The following is a 22,042-nucleotide window of genomic DNA, read 5'->3' as shown; positions in this document are numbered from 1 at the left end:
TCCTCATCCCCGGACCTGATTTCCCAAGACTGACATAATTCCCGGCCCAATGAGTACCTAGGCCCGCCCCGCGGTATGGACCCACCAATGAGGAGGGCGAAGGCCCTAGTGTCTGGCATTCTGGGCCCCTCGGCCGCGCCTTCGCGGCGGGCGATGTTAGTGGGCTTGGGCGTTGGGTGAAGTATCCAGGTTGGGCGCTTCCAGCGCTTTCTGTGGCGGGGGAATGAAGGCCTAGGTCAGGGAATAGGAAGGTGTATCGCCGCCAGAGTGCGGAACACCCTCGCCTTGAGGGTTCCCACAGTGACTTGCAAAAGTCTAGTGAGACCCGAGAATGCTGAGGCGGGACACGAAGCATGTGGTTCTTGTGGTTGCGACGCTCGTGCCGCCATCTTGGGTGCTGGCGGCGGAAACCGGTACCCCAACTTCCCCTCGGTGCGAACCTGGAGAAGCCACCCCAGCTGTGAGGGACGGTTGCGCCTCATGGCCCAGGCAAGGGTACCTTCGCTGGAGCAGTACCGCGGACGGATATCATGAGGGTGGTGGGACGTTGGCGGAACGTTGGCGGAACGTTGGCGGTGTGAGAGGTGTGGGGTAATGGCGATTTTTGTCATGGTAGAAACAGCCCAAAGGACCCCCCTCGTTTGGCCTCCCACGCAGCTTAGTCTTGCTTTTTTAGGGATGTTTCTCATTTTTTAATTTCTCCAGTCCCATCTGGTTATATTGCCAAAACATGTTTGTGACTCTCAAACGTTAGTTTACTCCCAGCATCACTTGGGGAGCTTGCTAAGCTACGAATTCCGAGGTCCCACTGGAGAGTCTGATTTAATGACCCTGGAGTGGCGGCCGGATAACCTGCCTGCTGGGGTGATTTTAACGCAGCTGATGCGAAGACCCCATTTAGGGAATCATTGGGTTGGCGTTTGCAATGCGTTCCTCCCAGCTATAGGACAAAGAGGTGTCAACTCAACTGTGTCTTCTTAGAAGAGCCCATTATTTATAGGTGAGTCATTAGTCCCTGTACAACTAAGGACAAGGCCAACTGATAACTCAGTAAATAATCGAGTCCATTTTGTGCTTGCGAGTTAGGGGCTTAATTTGGGGTGGTTTGCAGATTAAGTACTTTCACTGCATATAATAAACGTACACCAGCAAACCACTCATGGAATTCTTAAAAAAACTTCTGAGCTAGTTTACCAGTTTCAAAGACTAATTCAGAGAGCATGTTTTACCTATTCTAGGCTGGACTGGAACTCCTGGACTCAAGCGATCTTTCCATTTATCAGGGACTACTGACGCGTGTCTCCCAATAAATACCTGAGTATAAACAACATGAGGACTAGAATTTTGTGCGTTAACTGTTATAACTTAGTAGACACTCAAATACTGAGTACTTGAAGGGGGACTCAAGCAGGCAGGCCTCTGATTTTCCTGTTAAAAGCAGAAATTAACCACACCTTGGAGGATGTACAGTTTTGAAGGATATGGCATGTTAACAATAAAATAGGAGACCATTCAGTCCCCGAAGTAGTGAGACAATGAAGATAAAGACTGGTATTGTATAAGAAAGGAGGAATATTTAGGTGTGGCCATCAACTCTAAAAATAAATAAGGTTGAGAAGGAAGTATTTTAAACATAGAACTGGGCCCGGCGCAGTGGCTCACAGTAGCACCTTGGGAGGCCGAGGCGGGAGGATTGCTTGACCAGCCTGGGCAGCATAGTGAGACCCCCGTCGCTACAAAAAAACAAGCTGGGCTTGGTGCCACACATCTATAGTCCCAACTACTCAGGAGGCTGAGGTGGGAGGATTTCTTGAGCTGGGAGATTGAGGCTGCAGTGAGCTATGATGGTGCCAGTCTGGGCAACAGTGAGATGCTTCCTCAACAAAACAAAACATAAAATTGAGAGATATAAAGGCTCAACTACAGTGTTTAACTACAAGACAATTTTGAGAAGGTGAAAAGAGCATACTAAAGTTGGTCTTTTTTTGACAGAAAAATACAGAACAATTTTCAGTCCTAACAGTTCAAACTAAAACTGGACAATCGTTTATCTGTGGAGTTTCCTGCTTAGCCATTTCACAAAGGTGGGCAGAAAAAGGGAAAGAGTTGCAAGGGCCGAAGAGAGTAAAGGTGTAGAGACAAACTCAGTCGCAACAGCAGGCCTAGGCCTGGCAGGGTGTGGGCGCCCAGGATATTTGATGCTCCATGGAAGGGAGTGGAGACAGAAAGACTGTCTTCCATTCTGTCTAGAGTTCCAGATCAAGTCTGAGCAGGTGCAAGCTTTCCCAGAACCTGCTGATTAACCTTGTAAAACCCAGGGTGTGTCCTTCTTCACCCAGGAAGCCACCCCCTCCTTTCCCCCAACACTCTCCCCCTCCCTTTGCCTGGGACAGCTGTTAATAGGACAGTTACCCAAGAAGCAAAAGAAGGATCCCATGCTGATGTGTCATCAGTCCCGGTATATCCATTAAATCAGACTGAGAAGACCACTGGAAAAAGTGAGCGCATGCATGTGGCTCCCTAAGGGAAAGGCTGGCAGCCATTGTAAAACTAGGCCTTGCCCCTGCGACTCCAGGCTGGGCAGGAGAGAGAAGAAGGCAGTGGAAGCCGAGAAGAGGGTTAGGTCTAAAGCACACGGATTTGGGGCCAGCTAACTATAAAACATACACGGAAATCCCCACCCCCACCCCAGGAATAGCAGTGTAGTGTCTACCGACCCAGCTTCCCTGGTAGGAAAAGCTGCTGCTGCCGCCAACAGCCACATCCATCCTGCAGTCATCCCTGGAGGATGACACATGCCAGGAATCCTCAGAGAAGGGGCTGTGGGAGGGCAGGCTGGCTGGGGCTCTGATTTCTTCTGGAACAGTGAAATTGCTTTTTCCCTAAAAGGGAAACCCAGGCTTTCTGCCATTCTGGTTGTCCATTATCTTTCCTCTAAAAATGTCTCTAAGGCCAGGCACAGTGGCTCACACCTGTAACCCCAGCACTTCGAGAGGCCCAGGTGGGCAGATCACTTGAGCCAGGAGTTTGAGACCAGCCTGGCCAACATAGTGAAAACCCATCTCTACAAAAAAAATACAAAAATTAGCCAGGCGTGGTGGTTCATGCCTGTAGTCCTAGCTAGTGGGGAGGCTGAGGTGGAAAGATCACCCGATCCTGGGGAGGTTGAGGGTGCAGTAAGCTGTGATTGCGCCATTGCACTCCAGTCTGGGCAACAGAGTAAGACCCTGTCTCAAAAAAAATAATAAAAAGAAAAACATGTCTTTAAGTTTTGCTAATCCATATAAGTATTTCTTACTCTGTAACCTCATCTAATCCAGGGGAATAGATTAGATAGATGATTGCCTGAGATTTCCTTACAGTCCTGAGAGATGGTAGGAATACATCATGTCAATACTAAATGTTAGCATGTTTTGCAAAGAAATCAATTAGTTTTCTGGCAAATCCGGACATATGGCCCTCTCTCTTATATGGTAAACATCATCAGCAAGCTTGTTACCATTAAACCACCAAAAAGTAAAGCTCTCCTGCAAGCCAGCCTCTTTCCTATGCACCACTACCACACTCTTAGAAGATTGCTTCTCAATCCTGGCTGCATATTAGAATCACCCAGGTGGGTAGCTCGTAAGAAATACCAATGCCCAGGTCCCACCCCACACCAATTAAAACAGCTGCCCAGAGCAGAATTGGACATCAGTATTTTGTAAAAGCTCTTCAGGTGATTCTTATGCACAGCCAGAGTAGAGAATCACTAGGTTGGAGCAAGAATCCACATTGGGGTAAAAAAAAAAAAAAAAAAAAAAAAGCAAAAGATTGTGGTAATACGGGAACACAGACTAGAATGATTATCTGACTTTTTTTTTTGAGATGGAGTCGCTCTGTGGTCCAGGCTGGAGTGCAGTGACACCATCTCAGCTCACTGCAACCTCTGCCTCCCCAGTTCAAGCGATTCTCCTGCTTCAGCCTCCTGAGTGGCTGGTATTAAAGGTGCACACCACCACGCTTGGCTAATTTTTGTATTTTTAGTAGAGACAGGGTTTTGCCATGTTGGCCAGGCTGGTCTCAAACTCCTGACCTCAAGTGATCTGCCCACCTCAGCCTCCCAAAGTGCTGGGATTACAGGCGTGAGCCACTGCACCCGGCCCGTTTGACTTTTAGGGTGTGCTCATTCTCAACCCTAAAATGTTCTTTCTTCACCTCTACAATGAAAATGCCTCATTGTTCATTAGTGTCTTAGTGTAACATTTTTTGAAGCTGAGTTCAACTGTCCTGTATGTCTTGCTATGTTGTCTCAAACAATACCAGGTAGTGTTCTTCATATAGCTCTGTGTGACATGTCACACTCAAGGAGCTGCCATTAAGAGGTAGGAGGAGTGGATGTTTTGGACTCATAGGTGGGTTCGAAAATCTGGCTCTGTTTCTTACTAGTTGGGCCATCCCGAGCTAAATGGAGATAACAATGTACATATTCATAAATCTTAAAAATCAGGTCATGTGTATAAAGCCATTCATGCCTGGAGGAAGAGCTGAGTATAAGGCCCTGTCTTGAATAATCCTCTCTCCACCCACCCTACAACTTTATCTCAGAGAAAGCCAAAGGCGATGAAGAAATGAGAGCTGTCCTTAGAATGGTCTACTAGAAACCCATCCTACAGACAGAGCATGGAAGCTTTAGTTTTCTCTAGAGGATGCCACCAGTACACACTTCCACGCCTCATATTCCACACACACCTCCCCCTCTTGACATTAAGCAGGAGGGATAGAGAGAGGCTGGTACCCAAGGGAGCTGTTTCTTCTCGTCACATAAGAACAGATGCTGAAATCCTAGGACAGACAGCACAGAAATGTGGCAGCAGGAGGGTGACTCAGAGGAAATGAAATGGTCTCCCCTTCAAGCTATACCAAGGCCCAGAGGAGAACCTGCTTTGAATCACCTGCCTCCTGGGACTCCAAAGGGCAGGGACCAATTCTGAGTGCACTACTTCACAGGTTCCAGCTGGGTAGGGATGTGCACAGCCCACCTCTCCATCCTACTGTGCCTACCCGAAGGGAGTAGAGGGCAGAGAAACATGAAGGCTGCATTCTTTTTGAACCCAACTTGGCTTCCTCGAGCTGGGGAGGCTCTCCTGCCGAGTCTGCTGCTGCACGTGCATGCTTCTCATGTGCTGCCAGCCTTAAACTGGAAAGTCCTCTTAGGGCCATGCTCTGTGGAAGACACTGTCCCAATACTGGACACACATAGCTCACATGTTTATGTGAAACTGCATTAAAGGTGCACTTCAGGATGTGTGGGGAAGCGGTTGTCATGGAGAGAAAGAAGTTCTGGGGTCTCTGTTGAAGGAGTTTGGGGAGGGGTTATCATTGGGGAGAATCTTGTCCTTGAAAAGTTGAACTTGGCTCTGAATTTACTTATTCACCACTAAACTAAGATGTAAAGAGATTTTATGGGCCAGGCACGGTGGCTTACGCCTATAATCCCAGCACTTTGGGAGGCCAAGGTGGGCAGATCACTTAAGGTCAGGAGTTGGAGAACAACCTGGCTAACATGGTGAAACCCCGTCTCTACTAAAAATACAAAAATTAGCCGGGCATGGTGGCACGCACCTGTAATCCCTGCTACTTGGGAGGCTGAGGCAGGAGAATTGCTTGAACCCGGGAGGCAGAGGTTGCAGTGAGCCGAGATCGTGCTACTGCACTCCAGCCTGGGCGACAGAGTGAGACTCCATTTCAAAAAAAAGAAAAGATGTAAAGAGATTTTAAGAAGAGGAACAACAAGGCCAGGCGCGGTGGTTCACGCCTGTAATCCCAGCACTTTGGGAGGCCAAGGCAGGCGGATCACCTGAGGTCAGGAGTTCAAGACCAGCCAAACAACATAGTGAAACCCTGTCTCTACTAAAAATAAAAAAAATTAGCTGGGTGTGGTGGCGCATACCTGTAATCCCAGCTACTCAGGAGACTGAGACAGGAGAATCGCCTGAACCTGGGAGGCGGAGATTGCAGTGAGCCAATATCACCCCATTGCACTCCAGCCTGGGCAACAAGAGTGAAACTCCTTCTCAAAAAAAAGAAAAAAAGAAAAAGAAAAAGCAACAACAGTGATAGATGTGGGGGTGATGAGAACTTTGTGGTTCCTAAGCTTCCTTCCCCAGCCTTCTCTCATTCCTATCCCCTTGGCCCCTCTCCAGTGCCTTCCCATCCCTAACGTGTATAACTGACTCCTTCCCCACCTCCCCTATGGAGCCAGCCCCCTAAGTCCCCTATCTTCCCAGGTCTTCCTCTGTCCCTTCTGGAGGCTGCTGGTCTTTCATAGTGGGTACCATAGCCAAACAGAGGCTGAGAAATGCTCCTGGAGGCTTTTTGGTGCTGTCCTTGTAAATATGAGCCAAAAAAAAAAAAAAAATGGACTAGCTCACAGAAATATTAAGACATCAAAATAACCAAATCAGTATTTTTTAGAAATAACATACCCAGCCAGCATGACCATTGACATAACTTCTGATGATCTGGAATCCGAAGAAATAAAATGCCCAAATGCTGGGTCTTTTCCCTGGCTGCTGTTATCAAATAGTGTCATTATGTTCCCTATTATAACTGATAGCCTGCAAGAAAGGTTCAGATGTGCCTTCTAAGTCATCATATAGGGAGGGTCAGTAGATGCTTCCTCAGATGTCTGCATGGCCTGCTTCCTCCTTTCCTTTAGCTCTTTGTTCAAATGTCACCTTGTTAAAGGTTTTCTCAGAGGACTATGAAAATGGCTTTCTGGCTTGCCTGTCCCTTACCCCTCACATTCCACATCCCATTTCTGCTCTATTTTTCTTTGCAGCACTTATCCCCAACTCATATAATATCTACTTTTCCCATTTATTTGTGTATTATATCTTGCACAGAAACGCACGCATGTACATACACAAACACTTGATTGTAAGTTCCATGAGAGCAAAATTTTTCTTTTGTCTACTATTGTGTCCCAGTGGCTAGAAAAATATCTGGTACATACTAAGCACTCAATAAATATTTGTACAGCACATAAAATATGTTGTCTTTTTTTTTTTTTTTTTTTTGGAGATAGAGTCTTGCTCTGTTGCTGAGGCTGCAGTGGTGTGATCTTGGCTCACTACAGCCTCTGCCTCCTGGGTGCAAATGATTCTCCTGCCTTCACCTCCCAAGTAGCTGGGACTACAGGCACTCGCCACCATGCCTGGCTGATTTTTGTGTGTTTTTAGTAGAATCAGGGTTTCACCATGTTGGCCAGGCTGGTCTCGAACTCCTGGTCTCAAGTGATCTGCCCGCCTTGGCCTCTCAAAGTGCTGGGATTACAGGTATGAGCCACCACACCCAGCCAATATGGTATCATTGATAGGTACATTTTAATTATTATTAGTTAAAATTTGGTATTTGTGAATATTTATACATGATCTCCCTCATCCTGAATTCCTTTATTCATTTACTTCACAAATGCTTATTAAATATCTGTCATCGGCCAGGTGCAGTGGCTCATGCCTGTAATCCCAGCACTTTGGGAGGCCGAGGCAAGCAGATCACAAGGTCAAGAGATCGAGACCATCCTGGCCAACATGGTGAAACCCTGTCTCTACTAAAAATACAAAAATTAGCTGGGCGTGGTGGTGTGCACCTGTAGTCCCAACTACTCGGGAGGCTGAGGCAGGAGAATCACTGGAACCCGTGAGGCGGAGGTTGCAGTGAGCCGAGATCTCGCCACTGCACTCCAGCCTGGTGACGGAGCAAGACTCCGTCTCAAAAAAAAAAAAAAAAAATCTGTCACCAAGCCTTGTAAGAAACACTAGGGATTCCACAGTGAACAAGACAAACATAATTGGCCAGGTGAGGTGGGTCACACCTGTAATCTCAGGGCTTTGGGAGGCCGAGGCAGGAGGAGGGCTTGATCCCAGGAGTTCAAGACCTGCCTGGACAACACAGCAAGACCCTGCCTTTAAAAAAAATAATAATAAATAACCAGGCATGGTGGCACGTGTGTATCGTCCCACCTACTCAGGAGACTGAGACAGGAGAATGGCTTGATCCTGGGAGTTGTTTGTGTGTGTGTGTGTGTGTGGGTGGGTGGGTGGGTAGCAGGTTCTCGCTCTCTTGGCCAGGCTGGAGTGCTGTAGTGCGGTCTCGGGTCACTGCAACCTCCACCTCCCAGGTTCAAGTGATTCTCCTGCCTCAGCCTCCCGAGTAGCTGGGATTACAGGCACCTGCCACCACCCCCGGCTAATTTTTTTGTATTTTTAGTAGAGATGGGGTTTCACCATGTTGGCCAGGCTGGTCTCAAACTCCTGACCTCGTGATCCGCCTGTCTCGGCCTTCCAAAGAGCTGGAATTACAGGCGTGAGCCACCGTGCCCGGCCGACACTGGGAATTTGAGGCTGCGGTGAACTATGATCACACCACTGTACTCCAGCCTGGGTGATAGAGCAAGACCCTGTCTCAAAACAAAAAAACAAACAAACAAAAAGTCACATTCATTGGTTCTTGCAGGGCTCAAAGTCTGGGCGGGGAGAAGGAACACTTATAAACAAACTAGTAAAGGCTGGGAATGGTGGTTCACGCCTGTATCCCAACACTTTGGGAGGCTGAGGTGGGAGGATCACTTGAGCCTAGGCGTTCAAGACCAGCCTGGGCAACATAGTGAGACCTTGATCATGATCACCCTCCTCCCCCTCCTCCTCCTCTTCCTTTCTTTTTCTCTTCTTCTTCTTCTTCTTTTTTTTTTTTTTGAAACAGATTCTCACTCCCATTGCCCAGGCTGGAGCACAGTGGCATGATCATGGCTCTGCAGCCTTGAACCCCCAGACTCGGGTGATTCTCCCACCTCAGCCTTCTGAGTAGCTGGGACTACAGGTCACACCACCCTACCTGGCTAATTTCTTTGTAGTTTTAGTAGAGACTAGATCTTACCATGTTGCCCAGGCTGGTCTGGAACTCCTGGGCTCAAGCCTTCTGCCCACCTCAGCCTCCCAAAGTGCTGGGATTACAGATGTGAGCCATTGAGCCCAGACTTGAGACCTTGTTTCTACAAAAATAAAAAAAATAAAAAAATAAAAAATTACCTGGGAGTGGTTGCATGCACCAGTGGTCCCAGCTACTCGGGAGACTGAGATGGGAGGATTGCCTGAGCCCAGGAGGTTGAGGCTGCAGTGAGCCCAGATCGAGTCACTGCACTCCAGCCTGGGCAACAGAGTGAGACCGTGTCTCAAACAAGCAATATTAGTAAAAATAATATTTAGAGATTGAAAAAAGTGCAATGAAAGAAAGAAATAGGAACTGAGAGAATGTGACAGGAGAGACCTATCAAGTCAGATATGGTGGCTGTCAGGAGGACCTTTTGGTAATTATATTTCAGCAGAGGCTTGAAGATAAGAAGACTTGATGCATTCAGTGAGGAAAACCCCATTCTGTAACCATCTAGGGTAAGTGACTGTGGTCCACAACATAAGAGGGCTTGAAGAGAAGAATAGGGAAGAAATTTTGAGTCAAAAATCTGGGTTCTATCCCCAGTCAACTAGCTGTATAGTCTTGAAAAGGTCACACAACCTCTGAGTCTCTCTTTGCTTAAAATGAGGGTCCATTATGCCTATCTTACAGGTGTGGGCTATATTAGATAATGGATGTGAAGGTGTCAAATGTAAAATACACGCACAGTGTTTTTACCGGTAAATGCATACGTAGCACTAACATATCACTGGGATGTGAATTTCCCACTTGCCAGTGTACCCTGAAATGAGAGCTTGTCTTAGTTAGACTTAGACCAAAGAAACCAAAACATGCTGCAAAGCCCGATGTCATTGGTGGAGCATTTGTGCTGCTGGGCGTCTGTCTTGCTTCTGATGGTGCCATATCTGTGACTTAGGAGAGCCTGGGGAGGTGTCTCCGGGCCCATGGTTGCCTTCTGCAAGTAGTGAGAGAGGAATGAGAAAGCCTCTTCACAGAGGGGTGTCCCCAGAACTGTCCTCATTTGCTCTTGCTTATAGACCCTGTCCCTGAGATCTAAAGGGTGACCTGACGTATTTGTCCTCATGGTACCTACCAGAGGTCAACAGACAAAAGTGGGCTTTGCTTGTGTTTGCTGCTGGCCCCAGGACAGCCTATAGACACTGGCGCACACCAAAGCCACAGGCCGGAGAGCAGGCAGGAAGCAGGACGAGGGCTGGTCTTGGGGCACCCTGAGGATGCAGAGTTCGGGGATGTAAGGGACTCGGGAAGGAGCCAAGGAGGAGAGAGGGAGAGGAGAAGTGGGGGAAGGAGAGGTGGGGTGAGGGCGGGAGGGGAGATGGGGGAGAACGAGCAAGAGGACGGGGCCCCGAGGAAAGGGAGGCCACGCGCGAGAGGGGGCCGCGGGGCGGCGCGGAGGCGGGGCGGCGGCGGCGGGCAGGCGGCGGGCGGCGCTGTCAGTGCGAGGCGGCGAGCGGAATGCAGCGGCCCGAGGCCTGGCCACGTCCGCACCCGGGGGAGGGGGCCGCGGCGGCCCAGGCCGGGGGCCCGGCGCCGCCTGCTCGAGCCGGGGAGCCCTCGGGGCTGCGGGTACGGAGCGGGCGGGCGCGGGGATCCCGGGCGGCGGGAGCTGGGCAGGGACAGAGCAGGGTTAGGGGGAGCAGCCAACTCAGAACTCGCGCGCCCGGCGGCTGGGAACTTTGTGTCACCCCTGACTGGCCCCAGGACCCGGGAGGAAAAGTTCGTCCCAGCGCCGACCGGAGAGGAGGCCTGTCCTGAGTCCGTCGGCGCGGGGCTGAAGTTCTGGGTCCGTTTGGAGTGGGGGTGGCGGGTGAGTTGCGATTCCGCGGGGAGGGTAAGGAGTGGCCTGTCCGTCCCAGACTCGGCTCCCATCACCGGTGGGTGATGGGCATGCTTCTGGAGTCTACCCGGGCCAGGGCCTGGGGGCGCGCTGATAGCGCAGGTCCAGCCCGGCCAGGGATCAGCTGGAAGAAGGAGGCTCGGCCCGCTGTCCCCCCCGGCCCAGGTTCTGTGATACACTCCGACTCGGGCTCTGGAGCAGTCAGTGCATGACAGAACTTGGGCCCGGAAGGACCTTCTGCACCCAACGGGCACAGCGCCCACTCGGGGCCTGCAGTGGAACATCTGCCTGGGAGTGGAGTGGGCACCTGGGTTGGCCCATGTGGCACAGGGCTGGGCAGAACCAGCTGTGGACCTTGAGGACTGGGGTTGCTGGGGCCTGAGGATGTATCCTAGGGCCAGCAGATCCCATAGACACAGGGTGTCCACCTCGAGTCAGGGGCCAAACGGAACTCTCCTCTCCGGTGTCAGTTGCAGGAACCTTCCCTCTACACCATCAAGGCTGTTTTCATCCTAGATAATGACGGGCGCCGGCTGCTGGCCAAGGTAACCTCTGACCCCACCCATGAGGGACACAGTTCCCACTCAGCTGACACTCCTGTCTCAGGAGAAACTCCACTGTGATCTCTGTGACTCAGGGCAGCTCAGCTTAGACCCCTCCAGAGGTCCTTCTCATCCTCCTGCCTTGTCAAGGTGCTGCTCCCTGAAATGAGGGGTCTCCTCTATTTCTACTCATGTTCCCTGAAATGTTTCCTTATCATCCTGCTACTGGCCAGTTGGACCTGGGCATGGGAAGGTTCTGCCTAATGGGTCAGTGGAGTGTTGAGCCTGGGACCCAGGAGTCTTAGTCCCCAAACCCCCACACAAGTTCTTTTGTTCTTTGGGGTTTGTCTCTAAACCTCCACTTTTGTTCTACAGCTTGGTAAACACTAACGATTTAGTCTAAGGAGTCTAAGGATTTAGAACCAGATGGGATTTTAGAAACTGTATAATCCAACTCTTTAATTTCGTAGATGAAGAAAATGAGGGGTAGAGAAGCTAAGTGAGTTGCCTGAGGTCACAAGTATTAATATCCTAACAGATCCAAACTCAAATTTTATTTATTTACTTATTTAATTTTTTCACTTCTCCCATTTCACAGGTTTCACAGGCAAACTCGGGTTTTTTGACATGAAGCTCAAGGTGGTTTTCACTGTACCCCCATTCAATTAGCTGTTATCTATCCTAGCAAACATGGCCTGAGCGAACCAAACTAAAATAATCCAAAAATAAATTTCTGCTGTCAACACAATTAATTGTAGGGGAGCTATAGCATCTGCATTAGCTATGAAATGCATTATAAGGCCAGGTGTGATGGCTCATGCCTGTAATCCCAGCACTTTGGGAGGCCAAGGCGGGCAGATCACTTGAGGTCAGGAGTTCGAAACCAGCCTGGACAACATGGTGAAACCCTGTCTCTACTAAAAATACAAAGAATTAGCCAGGCATGGTGGTGGGCGCCTGTAATCCCAGCTACTCGAGAGGCTGAGGCAGGAGAATTGCTTGAACCTGGGAGGCAGAGGTTGCAGTGAGCCGAGATCACACCATTGCACTCCAGCCTGGGCAACAAGAGCGAAACTCTGTCTCAAAAAAAAAAAAAAAAAGAAAAGAAAAAGAAAAGAAATGTGTTGTAAGGCCAGGCGCAGTGGCTGATGCCTGTAATCCCAGTACTTTGGGAGGCCGAGGCGGGTGGACTGCTTGAGCCCAGGAGTGCCAGACCAGCCTGGGCAACATGGCACACCCCATCTCTACAAAAAACAAAACAAAACAAAAACAAAAAACAAAAAAACGAAAATTAGCCGGGCGTGGTGGTGTGTGCCTGTAGTCCCACCTACTCGGGAGGCTGAAGTGGGAGGATTGCCTGAGCCCGAGAGGTTGAGGCTGCAGTGAGCCATGATCGAGCTACTGCACTCCAATCTGGGTTATAGAGTGAGACCCCATCCCAAAAAATAGATTTTCTGTTTGTTTATTTGGAACTGAAAGTTTTTTGTTTTTATGAAATTCAAATAAGCAGCGGCCACTAGGGAGATGGCTAATCTGCCTGCGGATTGAGTATTAAGTGGCAAAATCCACATCCAGAAAATTGAAAACTGAGCTGACCACACCTTGCCCCAGCAGATGGTCAGAGGTGGATCAGCAAGGCCAAAGGCTTTTCCTCCCTACAGATTAAGAAACTGAGTCAGAGAGAGAGGCTCACCATTCCCAAACAAAAAACATTAATTTAGTTATGGGATATGTGTGAGGAATTGTTTCTTAGATATTTAATCTTCACTATAACCCTGTCTGCAGTCAGACCGTCCTTAGTGGTCAAACCCAGCTTTGGCCTCACAACTGTGAGATGTTGGGGAAGTTACCTGACTTCTTTTTTTTTTGAGACGGAGTCTCCCTCTGCTGCCCACGCTGAAGTTCAGTGGCGCGATCTCAGCTCACTGCAACCTCCGCCTCCCGGGTTCAAGCGATTCTCCTGCCTCACCCTCCCAAGTAGCTGGGATTACAGGCACCCGCCACCATGCCCAGCTAATTTATTTTGTATAATTAGTAGAGATGGGGTTTCACCATGTTGGCAAAGCTGGTCTGGAACGCCTGACCTCAGGTGATCCACCCGCCTCGGCCTCCCAAAGTGCTGAGATTACAGGCATGAGCCACCATGCCAGGCCATTACCTGACTTCTTGATGCCTCGGTTTCCCCATCCGTGTAATGGGGATAATAAAGTAGCTGTTGTTATTATCATTATTATTGTTTAAGAAGGACTCCTGGTTTTGCCGTCTTTCCTGTAGAGACTCAGGGTGCTGTAGAATTAGTGTGCCCTCGTGACCATGCCAATCCTTAGCACCCTGCACATCTGCTGAATGTACAAGATCCTCCAAGAAACCAGGAGGGGACTCCAAAAGCAGGCCTCAATATCCCTCTACTTTTTGGGACTTTCTTTGCTCAGAATTTGTTTTGGAGGGGGCCAAGCACAGTGGCTCATGCCTGTAATCCCAGCACTTTGGGAGGCCAAGGTGGGCAGATCACCTGAGGTCGGGAGTTCGAGACCAGCCTGACCAACATGGAGAAACCCTGTCTACTAAAAATACAAAATTAGCTGGGCGTGGTGGCGCATGCCTGTAATCCCAGCTACTCAGGAGGCTGAGGCAGGAGAATTGCTTGAACCCGGGAGGTGGAGGTTGTGGTGAGCCGAGATCGTGCCACTGCACTCCAGCCTGTGCAGTAAGAGCAAAACTCCATCTAAAAAAGAATAATTTGTTTTGGAGGAAGTAATGAGCCTGCAGGCCTAGGGTGCAGTAATGGAGAGATGGGGCAGGGAAGCAGGATCCCGCTTGCCCAGCGCCTACTCTTTCCTGCCCCCCAATCTAGGGAGGATCCAGGCTGTGTGGAAAGCTATGGTCCTTTCTCCTTCCCTTTCTCATAGTATTATGATGACACATTCCCCTCCATGAAGGAGCAGATGGTTTTCGAGAAAAATGTCTTCAACAAGACCAGCCGGACTGAGAGTAAGTGTCCCCCTCTTCCTCCAGCAGACTATCAGATGCACACTGTCATCTTCTCCATCTGGACACATCTGTCCCCATCAGCCTTGCACACCCACAGGCCATTTCCCTTTCTTCAGAGGCTTTTTGTCCTCTCCTTCCCTGCTGTTCTCCACTCCCTTCCTCCAGGGAACCTCCACTCCCTGTCACTCTCCAGTTCCCCCAACTACCCAACCCCCCAGCATCCCCAGGCCTCTCTCTAGCTGAGGAGGCCAACTGTGTTGTGGTCCCAACCTGGATCTGGTCCCAAGGTGCTGCACAGGGTGGGAGCGTGGGCAGGAGGTAAACGGGTCAACAACTGGGCTTGTTGACTCCTTGGCCTGAGGCAGTCCCTAGAAATAGAGTAGCAGATAAGGGGAAGGACACGGGGCTGCCTGATGGTAGTGTCCCTAGTGCTGGTCTTTCCAAGGGTTCTCCAGAAAGGGGAGAAGGAAATAGGAGAGTCACAGAGTCATACATGAGGAGGAGGGGCTAGGCTAGGACCAGGCAAGGTGGCCAGGACTGAAAGCTCCCTCCACTTCTAGGTGAGATTGCATTTTTTGGGGGTATGACCATCGTCTACAAGAACAGCATTGACCTCTTCCTATACGTGGTGGGCTCATCCTACGAGAATGAGGTGAATTCAGGAGGTTGGGGCAGTAAGAAGGGTCTGTCTATGGGGAAATGTTGTTATTTGGAATCTGGGCTTGAGGCTGGGACCTGGAGGCTCACCATTGGACCCCTTCTTTTAGGCTCCATGGGGTAGAGGAGGGCAGCCAGAAGGGTTCTTTCTGGGACAATGTGTATCTTCGATGCCCCTTAGTTTCCTTGGGAACCAGGAATGAAGTAATCACTTCATCTTCAAGGGAGGCTTTGTCCTTCTTAAACATAACTAGAGAAGGATACACTCAATGTCTCCCAGTGGAGAACTCCAGTTTCCCAGCCCAGACACATGGAAGTTCCCTCTAATGTCACACCGCAGTCAGTCTCCAGCCCAGGCCTCTGAAACTCTCCATTGCTGCCCGCACAGGTGGGCTCCAAGTGCTTCTTTTGACCTTCTCAATCTCAAACTCTCCTTTTCCTCCTCCCGTATCTGCCCATCCCAGCTGATGCTCATGTCTGTTCTCACCTGCCTGTTTGAGTCTCTGAACCACATGTTAAGGTGAGTGAGGTTCTCTGCCCTCCGAGGCCCCATCCCCCTGGCCCTGATATGTCACAGGACCCTTCCTCCCTGTTTTTCTCCTGAAGTCCCCACAAGACTAAGATAATCCAAAAAGAAAAGTTCACAGTCGACACAATGAACGAAAGTAGGGCTGTGCTATAGCATCTAACCTAGTTGTGAAACGCATCTGGGGTCCTGTGGTGGGTGCCAGGGTGTCAAGGCCCAAAGTATGGGAGGTTGGACAAGGTAGGGTGTAAGGAAGCAGAACTGCCCTTTGCTCAGAAATGCCTTGCATGGGCTCTGTGCTCACTGCCCTTCACATTCTCCTTCCCAGTCCTTGTTTGGTGAGGGGTGAATGAGGCAGTCTTTGGAGAGTGGGGTCAGCCTCACCTAGGCAGGGACTCAGTTCCTCCCAGCCACAGGGAGGCTCAGGAGCTTGTGTCCACCTTCAGGAAGAACGTGGAGAAGCGCTGGTTGCTGGAGAACATGGACGGAGCCTTCTTGGTGCTGGACGAGATTGTGGATGGCGGGTGAGGAGGGGACAGTCAGGGACACTCACAGCAGGAGTGCCTTTGATAATCATCAGCCCCAGATGGCACCCAGCATGGCTAGAACTCTGACCAACTTCTCACTCCCTTCCCCCAGCATATTCCCAGGGATCCCATTCCCCTAGCCCTTCCCCTTACTAGCGCCCCACTCATGAAGATAGAAGTTGATTTCAATGTTAGCCAAAGTCAAGCCAAACAAGAGACTAACCTGATGTCAAACTATGGGAGACTGTTGAATAGGCAGGGTTTGGGGAAAATCCAGTTTGGTCTCCAATGCCCAGGGGAAGCACTGGCACAGATGCTGGCCCTCTCTGGAAGGACTTCAGACAGTCCCACCAGCCCCACATGTCCTGCTCTTAGGGCTCAATTCCAACACAAGCTAGATGCGTGACCTGGGTCAATTACTGACCCTCCCCGAGGCTTACTTTCTCCATCTTTAGGATGGAGGTAATAAGGGATTGTGGGGATTAAATACATGTGTGAGAAGATACATGTGAAGCTTGTGGTTCTCATTCAATAGATGTTGCCTCCTATTGGTATGCTAGTATATTCTTAGGAAGCTAGGAGCTCTTTTGAGAAAAGTTGGCTTGTGAATTTCCATCAGGGGATCAATATTCAGAGAGAAAAAGAAGTTCTGGCTCTGGGGCAAAGGATAATAAAAATTTCTTTTTTTTTTTTTTTTGAGACAGAGTCTCGCTCTGTCACCCAGGCTGGTGTGCAGTAAGTGGCGTGATCTCGGCTCACTGCAAGCTCCACCTCCCGGGTTCACACCATTCTCCTGCTTCAGCCTCCTGAGTAGCTGGGACTACAGGCACCCACCACCACACCAAGCTAATTTTTTGTATTTTTAGTAGAGACGGGGTTTCACCATGTTAGCCAGGATGGTCTCGATCTCCTGACCTCGTGATCCGCCCACCTCAGCCTCCCAAAGTGCTGGGATTACAGGTGTGAGCCACCATCCCCGGCCAATAGAAATTTCTTGAGCTCCTTAAAAACATACATCCCTCTATCATTACATCATTTTATACATTAGGAAACAGGCTCAAAGTTTCAAGTGACACGCCGGAGGTCTCTCACACAGCTAGGGAGTGGCAGGGCCAAGATCTAAAACCATGTGAATAGTTCCAGAGGCCATGCTGTTTCTATGGCACTGTACTGGACTGCCTGGGGCACTAAGGAATGCCTCCTGCAGATTTCTGGGACCCAAAAGGGAGTGGGGTAACGCCAGGTTTTGGGGAGCCAGAAGCATATACAATTTGGTGAACCCTCTTGAAGGAAAACTTTACACAAACACACACAAAACTATAAATGCAAAACAAGATGCAGGGCTCTGGATGGCTGTGCAAAGGAGGATGCCTGAGGTGTAAGCTTCACAAGCTTCCCGTCTCTGCCTCTGAGGAACTCAGTTTCCTGCCAAGAAAAACTGGGGAAGCGCCAGTCGGGAGGCAACGCCTAAACTGGAGCCTTGGCCTGGGATGCTCTTTCTTTATGGATTACAGGACCCCTGGTTAGGGAGCTTGGGACAGGGGGTGCTCAGCCCAAGGATGGGGACTGGAAGAGGCTCCCAAGAAATGTTTGTCATTTCCAGTGATTTAGTAACAAAGAGAAACAAAGCTTCTGCCTTGGAGGAGTCTCAGTGGGTAAGGAGGTACACTCAGATCCTGTCATCTTTGTCCTGCCGCAGTGACAGGCCCTCACGCCCATGTACCCTGTACATAACCCCAAGGCCTCACGAAGGAGCGCCTGCTCTCTGAGAAAAGCTACAATATTTGGGTCTATCAAAAGGGAATTTTTTTGTTTGTTTCTTTGTGTGTGTGTGTGTGTGTGTGTGTGTGTGTGTGTGTGTGTTTTGAGATGGAGTCTCACTCTGTCGCCCAGGCTGGAGTGCAGTGGCGTGATCTTGGCTCACTGCAACCTCTGCCTCCTGGGTTCAAGCAATTCTCCTGCCTCAGCCTCCCGAGTAGCTGGGATTATAGGCGTGCGCCACCATTACCGGCTAATTTTTTTTGTATTTTCAGTAAAGACGGGGTTTCACCATATTGGCCAGGCTGGTCTCGAACTCTTCACCTTGTGATCCTCCCACCTTAGCCTCCCAAAGTGCTAGGATTGCAGGCGTGAGCCACTGTGCCTGGCCTAAAAGGGAAGATTTAAAAAAAAAATTTTTTTTTTTTAGACAGAGTCTCACTGTGATGCCCAGGCTGGAGTGCAGTGGCGCAATCTTGGCTCACTGCAACCTCTGCCTCCCGGGTTGAAGCGATTCTCCTGCCTCACCCTCCCAATTAGCTGGAATTACAATGTGTGCCACCATGCCTGGCTGATTTTTGTACTTTTACTAGAGACAGGGTTTCGCCATGTTGGCCAGGCTGGTCTGGAACTCCTGACCTCAGGTGATCCACCCGCCTCGGCCTCCCAAAGTGCTGGGATTACAGGCATGAGCCACCGTGCCCAGCCTTAAAAAAAAAAAAAAAGGGAGGAAGTAGGGGAGAAGGTAGATGCTGATTTTTGGAGTTTCATTTCTTTTATGCAGGGCATGACCCCATGCCATAAAATAACAGTGCAACAAGATAAGAACCCCCAGGGCCTCTCTTCCTAACTCTTTTCACAGGGAATCCAATCCTATACCCAGAAAGTGAAGTGAACTTTCAAGAGCTCTGAGTTTTGAGAGTCCCTGCTTTTGACAACCTGATCATCCTAGACCAGACTGTTCTTATCCAGTTTCAAAGATTTTGCCCAGGGATGACAAAGCATGTGGACCACTGGGTTGAAGCATCAAAGAATCAGAGCTGAGGGCTCTCCATGCTGAGGGAGAGTTCTGACTTGAGGGCTATCAGTGGGAAGGGACCTGGAAGGTGGAGATGTTGCAGGATGCCTTCGGAGAGGGAAGAGGCTTGGCAAGGAGAAGGGGCGGAGGGGAGGATTGTGCCACTGATTTGCCTCCTGGTTTTTCCTCTCATCTTGTAGTGTGATTCTGGAGAGTGACCCCCAGCAAGTGATCCAGAAGGTGAATTTTAGGGTAAGAGTCTTCCTGGACACCTCCTCTTTTAGGCTGCCCTTCCTGTCCTCCCTGGGAATAGGGCTGCTAGGGCCTAGATGGTAGAAGCCCAAGCTCCTCTAGCAGAAGCCAACCACTGGGCTGACACACTTGTTAGGGGTGAGATGAGCAGCAGTTTCTGGGTGGGATGCCAGTTAATGGAAGAAATCTTCCTGTCCTCTCCCCGGCTAGGAGCACAAGTACCTCACCTCTTTCCTGGTAGGAAGTATAGACTGGGGAAATAAATACATCTTCAAAGAGGCACTAGGTGGCTGCCTTGGCCTTGAGGTTGGGGGTCAGGGGTATGGATAGAACCTCCCTGCCTTGTTTGGCTTTCTCATGTCTGGATGAAACCTTTCTTCCCATCTTTCTTCCCATCTTCCCTCACCCTCCACGCACCATAGCACAATCCCAGAGGTCCTGGCTTCCAAATGACAGGCTGCAGGACTTCTATTAACCAGTGACACAGGTGCAGCTCTGAATCACCCTAACCACTGCACCACCTCACCCATACCCCCAAGCCCCTTTCCTTCACCTCCCTGACCCAGGACCCTCATGCTGGCCCTACCCCACCCCTTGACTCTGCTTCCTTACAGGCAGATGATGGCGGCTTGACTGAACAGAGTGTGGCCCAGGTAGGCCCCCCTGCATCTGCCTTGGCTAGAAATGGTCTAGAGAGATACGGGGAGCAGAGCATCCTAGAGCATCCTAGGGGGACCCAGTGAAGTTATCAAGTCTGAAAAATCAGGGGTGAGAAGGGAAGGGATGAGGCAGTGACAGGTCATATCTTGGAAAGACTCACTGGAGGCCTCCGGGCTCTCCAACTCAGGGGAGCTGGGTACTAATGGATGGATGGGCATGTTACCATCAGCCCACCTCATCTCCTGGCTTGGTTTAGTTGGATTGAAACTAGGATGAGCTGCCTACCTTGGAGATGGCTGGGTCACTTGTGCACCCCAAAAATCTGGGAACTCAGGCCTCTGATGCGCCCTCTACCGAAACCTGGAAAGGGTACCAAATAGGAGTTTGGCTCTTAACCCCTGTCCTTGCCACTTAGGGTGCACACTGGGATTGTTAAGGGACTCTCAAACCCATGATAGGATCTGACTTTCCCCACTCATCACTTGTCACCTTACCCCTGAGTGACCTGGCTATGGAAGAACCTGCCACAACCCTGCATGGTCTTATCTGGAGGTGCTTGCAGAGCGTAAGGCCAGGGGGAGGTTCCTGGCTCTGAAGCCTGATCAGTTCCCCAGCTGCACAAACTTCCTGCTAGTTCAGGACGACTGTCTTGACCTCTCTTCTGTCCACCTGCAGGTCTCTCTGCTCAGACTAATCCTGCTTGTATGGAACTTCCCGCCCTGGCGCTAACTCCTCGTGCTGTGGTGGCCCTACCGAGATGAGCCTGTGCTGTCTCGTGTGGAGTCCCAGGTGTGGCGCCCATTTTCCTGCACTGCCCTTAGCGCTCACTCTGCTTCGCCCTCCCCTCTGATTCCCCATGTTTCCTCATACCATGCTGGAATGAATGCAGCTGCAAGGCAATTTTTAGAGTGGAAAGAGGGTAGGGAGTAATAAGCAGAGCAGATAAGAACACAGGTGCTCATGGGAGTCATCCCAGGGTACGTGTTCTACCTTACCACCTAAAGCTGGGTGACCTAGGGCAAGTTACTCAACCTCTCTGGGCCTCACATAATAACAGGACCCTCTTCATGGAGTTATGAGAATTCAATGAGCCAATGCGTGACAAGCTCTTAGTAGGGCTCCAAGCCAGTTAACACATGCTGAATAACCATCAGTATTTCTCCAAAGGGAGAAAGAATGAAAACATAGCATTTTTGATGGAATTCTTGAGTAAAAACAAAGGAAGCTACAGGTAGCCAATGGGGGATAAAATGAGGACAAAGTTAGATTCTGGCTAGGAGAATCAGGGGAACCCTAAGCCACTGTCCCCAAGAGAGGAGGGAGACTGTGCAGGAGGAGGAGACACAGCGTTCCCTCCTTCTCTAGAGGGGAATAAGGCTGAGTGGCTGGAGGGACAATCTGAGGGACACACCTGAGTCCTGTCCCCCTCTCCTGCTTTGGTATTGTGCATGCACGTGTGCACTTATATGGATTTGTGTAAGCACTGGGCTGAGACTTTCCACCAGGCATCCCACCGCAGGGTCTGGCTGGCCACCCTTTGCCAGCTATGCCACATCAGCAGTGGGTTGCGGTGGGGTGTTGAGGACACATTGCCAGCCATGGCCAGAGCTAGGGGTTTGCTGAGGCGTCTGAGCACAGGGAGTGTCAGGCCTGGGCCCCGTCTCCGCCTGGACGTGGCACTGTGGGCGGGAACTCTCATGGCATGACAGCGGGGAGACAGGCTGCTGCCACACCCACGCTGCAGATGCAGGAGCCAGAGGTCTGGGCAGGCTTGGGCCTGAGGTGGGAGCTGGCTGCAGCCGGTTTGGTCTGCGCTTTCTGACTTGGAGGGTTGGCCGCGTTTAAGCCAAGTGGAGACAAGCTGCTGCCACCTAGTGACCGGTGGTTGCAGGGGCGCTTCGGCAAGGTGGGCTGTGGACCTCCCCATGACTGTGTATGGAGGCATTTGACATTCTCAATTCTCTCTCAACCTCCCCCACCCCACCCCAGGTTCTTCAGTCTGCCAAGGAACAAATTAAATGGTCGTTATTGAAATGAAGGCTGTGGATTCAAGGCTCCCTGCCCCCCAGATCATTTCCCCAATCCTGGCAAAAGCCCAAAGATCCCAGGGTCAGGAGAGACCCCTCTGTATCCCCAGGTCCCTCCCAGAACTGACTCCTAAGGTCTCCAGCCAGGGCTTCTGAGATGCAAAGGTTTGGCCTCAGGAGAGTCACCTTTTCTCACGGCCCTGGCCTTAACTCATATCTTAGGCATTCCTGGCCCCAGGGCCCTAATAAACCTGCTTTTGTCTTCTGCCAA

The 22,042-nt window shown here is 50.4% G+C and overlaps 1 protein-coding gene, 1 long non-coding RNA gene and 2 other non-coding genes across 9 annotated transcripts, besides 9 other annotated features; 3 read left to right on the top strand and 1 right to left on the bottom strand.

Moving 5' to 3' along the window:
* Positions 1 to 474: part of an enhancer, noted in NCBI's record as "H3K27ac hESC enhancer chr17:46125097-46125698 (GRCh37/hg19 assembly coordinates)", that runs on past the window's edge. NCBI's record gives its function as "activates a minimal SCP1, AML or CMV promoter by ChIP-STARR-seq in naive H9 embryonic stem cells {active_cell/tissue: H9 hESC(naive)}" and the evidence as "EXISTENCE:reporter gene assay evidence [ECO:0000049][PMID:30033119]".
* Positions 131 to 370: an enhancer, noted in NCBI's record as "active region_12325". NCBI's record gives its function as "activates an Ori minimal core promoter by ATAC-STARR-seq in GM12878 lymphoblastoid cells {active_cell/tissue: GM12878}" and the evidence as "EXISTENCE:reporter gene assay evidence [ECO:0000049][PMID:35858748]".
* Positions 156 to 1,328, top strand: NFE2L1-DT (NFE2L1 divergent transcript). Its single transcript, NR_170231.1, has 2 exons — positions 156 to 584; positions 1,239 to 1,328. It is a non-coding gene; the product is annotated as an NFE2L1 divergent transcript (long non-coding RNA).
* Positions 156 to 22,042, top strand: COPZ2 (coat protein complex I subunit zeta 2). Of its 6 annotated transcripts, none has more exons than NM_016429.4 (9): positions 10,412 to 10,542; positions 11,284 to 11,358; positions 14,265 to 14,346; positions 14,907 to 14,998; positions 15,468 to 15,523; positions 15,976 to 16,053; positions 19,033 to 19,084; positions 19,699 to 19,737; positions 21,734 to 22,042. In NM_016429.4, the coding sequence occupies exons 1-9, from the start codon at positions 10,432 to 10,434 to the stop codon at positions 21,779 to 21,781; spliced, it is 633 nt and encodes a 210-aa protein (NP_057513.1). In that variant the 5' UTR covers positions 10,412 to 10,431; the 3' UTR covers positions 21,782 to 22,042. The 6 variants fall into 6 exon arrangements, with proteins under 6 accessions (XP_047292165.1, NP_057513.1, XP_047292162.1 ...); XM_047436206.1 differs by lacking the exon at positions 21,734 to 22,042 and adding an exon at positions 20,420 to 20,533; XM_047436209.1 differs by lacking the exons at positions 10,412 to 10,542; positions 11,284 to 11,358; positions 21,734 to 22,042 and adding exons at positions 156 to 1,000; positions 20,420 to 20,533.
* Positions 441 to 630: an enhancer, noted in NCBI's record as "active region_12324". NCBI's record gives its function as "activates an Ori minimal core promoter by ATAC-STARR-seq in GM12878 lymphoblastoid cells {active_cell/tissue: GM12878}" and the evidence as "EXISTENCE:reporter gene assay evidence [ECO:0000049][PMID:35858748]".
* Positions 441 to 1,078: a biological region, named in NCBI's record as "H3K27ac hESC enhancer GRCh37_chr17:46124493-46125096".
* Positions 475 to 1,078: an enhancer, noted in NCBI's record as "H3K27ac hESC enhancer chr17:46124493-46125096 (GRCh37/hg19 assembly coordinates)". NCBI's record gives its function as "activates a minimal SCP1, AML or CMV promoter by ChIP-STARR-seq in naive H9 embryonic stem cells {active_cell/tissue: H9 hESC(naive)}" and the evidence as "EXISTENCE:reporter gene assay evidence [ECO:0000049][PMID:30033119]".
* Positions 9,246 to 9,295: an enhancer, noted in NCBI's record as "active region_12323". NCBI's record gives its function as "activates an Ori minimal core promoter by ATAC-STARR-seq in GM12878 lymphoblastoid cells {active_cell/tissue: GM12878}" and the evidence as "EXISTENCE:reporter gene assay evidence [ECO:0000049][PMID:35858748]".
* On the top strand, positions 10,962 to 11,048 carry MIR152 (microRNA 152). Its single transcript, NR_029687.1, has one exon. It is a non-coding gene; the product is annotated as a microRNA 152 (primary transcript).
* Positions 15,258 to 15,327, bottom strand: MIR10226 (microRNA 10226). The gene has a single exon (NR_162100.1). It is a non-coding gene; the product is annotated as a microRNA 10226 (primary transcript).
* Positions 20,216 to 20,482: a silencer, noted in NCBI's record as "fragment chr17:46105093-46105359 (GRCh37/hg19 assembly coordinates)". NCBI's record gives its function as "represses an EF-1alpha promoter that drives an FKBP-Casp9 reporter gene in an ReSE screen in phorbol 12-myristate 13-acetate-treated (for megakaryocytic differentiation) K562 erythroleukemia cells {active_cell/tissue: K562(+PMA)}" and the evidence as "EXISTENCE:reporter gene assay evidence [ECO:0000049][PMID:32094911]".
* Positions 20,866 to 21,422: an enhancer, noted in NCBI's record as "H3K27ac-H3K4me1 hESC enhancer chr17:46104153-46104709 (GRCh37/hg19 assembly coordinates)". NCBI's record gives its function as "activates a minimal SCP1, AML or CMV promoter by ChIP-STARR-seq in naive H9 embryonic stem cells {active_cell/tissue: H9 hESC(naive)}" and the evidence as "EXISTENCE:reporter gene assay evidence [ECO:0000049][PMID:30033119]".
* Positions 21,423 to 21,981: an enhancer, noted in NCBI's record as "H3K27ac-H3K4me1 hESC enhancer chr17:46103594-46104152 (GRCh37/hg19 assembly coordinates)". NCBI's record gives its function as "activates a minimal SCP1, AML or CMV promoter by ChIP-STARR-seq in naive H9 embryonic stem cells {active_cell/tissue: H9 hESC(naive)}" and the evidence as "EXISTENCE:reporter gene assay evidence [ECO:0000049][PMID:30033119]".

The sequence above is a fragment of the Homo sapiens genome, chromosome 17 (assembly GCF_000001405.40).
Source record: "Homo sapiens chromosome 17, GRCh38.p14 Primary Assembly".
NCBI classification, from domain to species: domain Eukaryota; kingdom Metazoa; phylum Chordata; class Mammalia; order Primates; family Hominidae; genus Homo; species Homo sapiens.
This window is presented reverse-complemented; position numbering and strand designations above follow the sequence as displayed.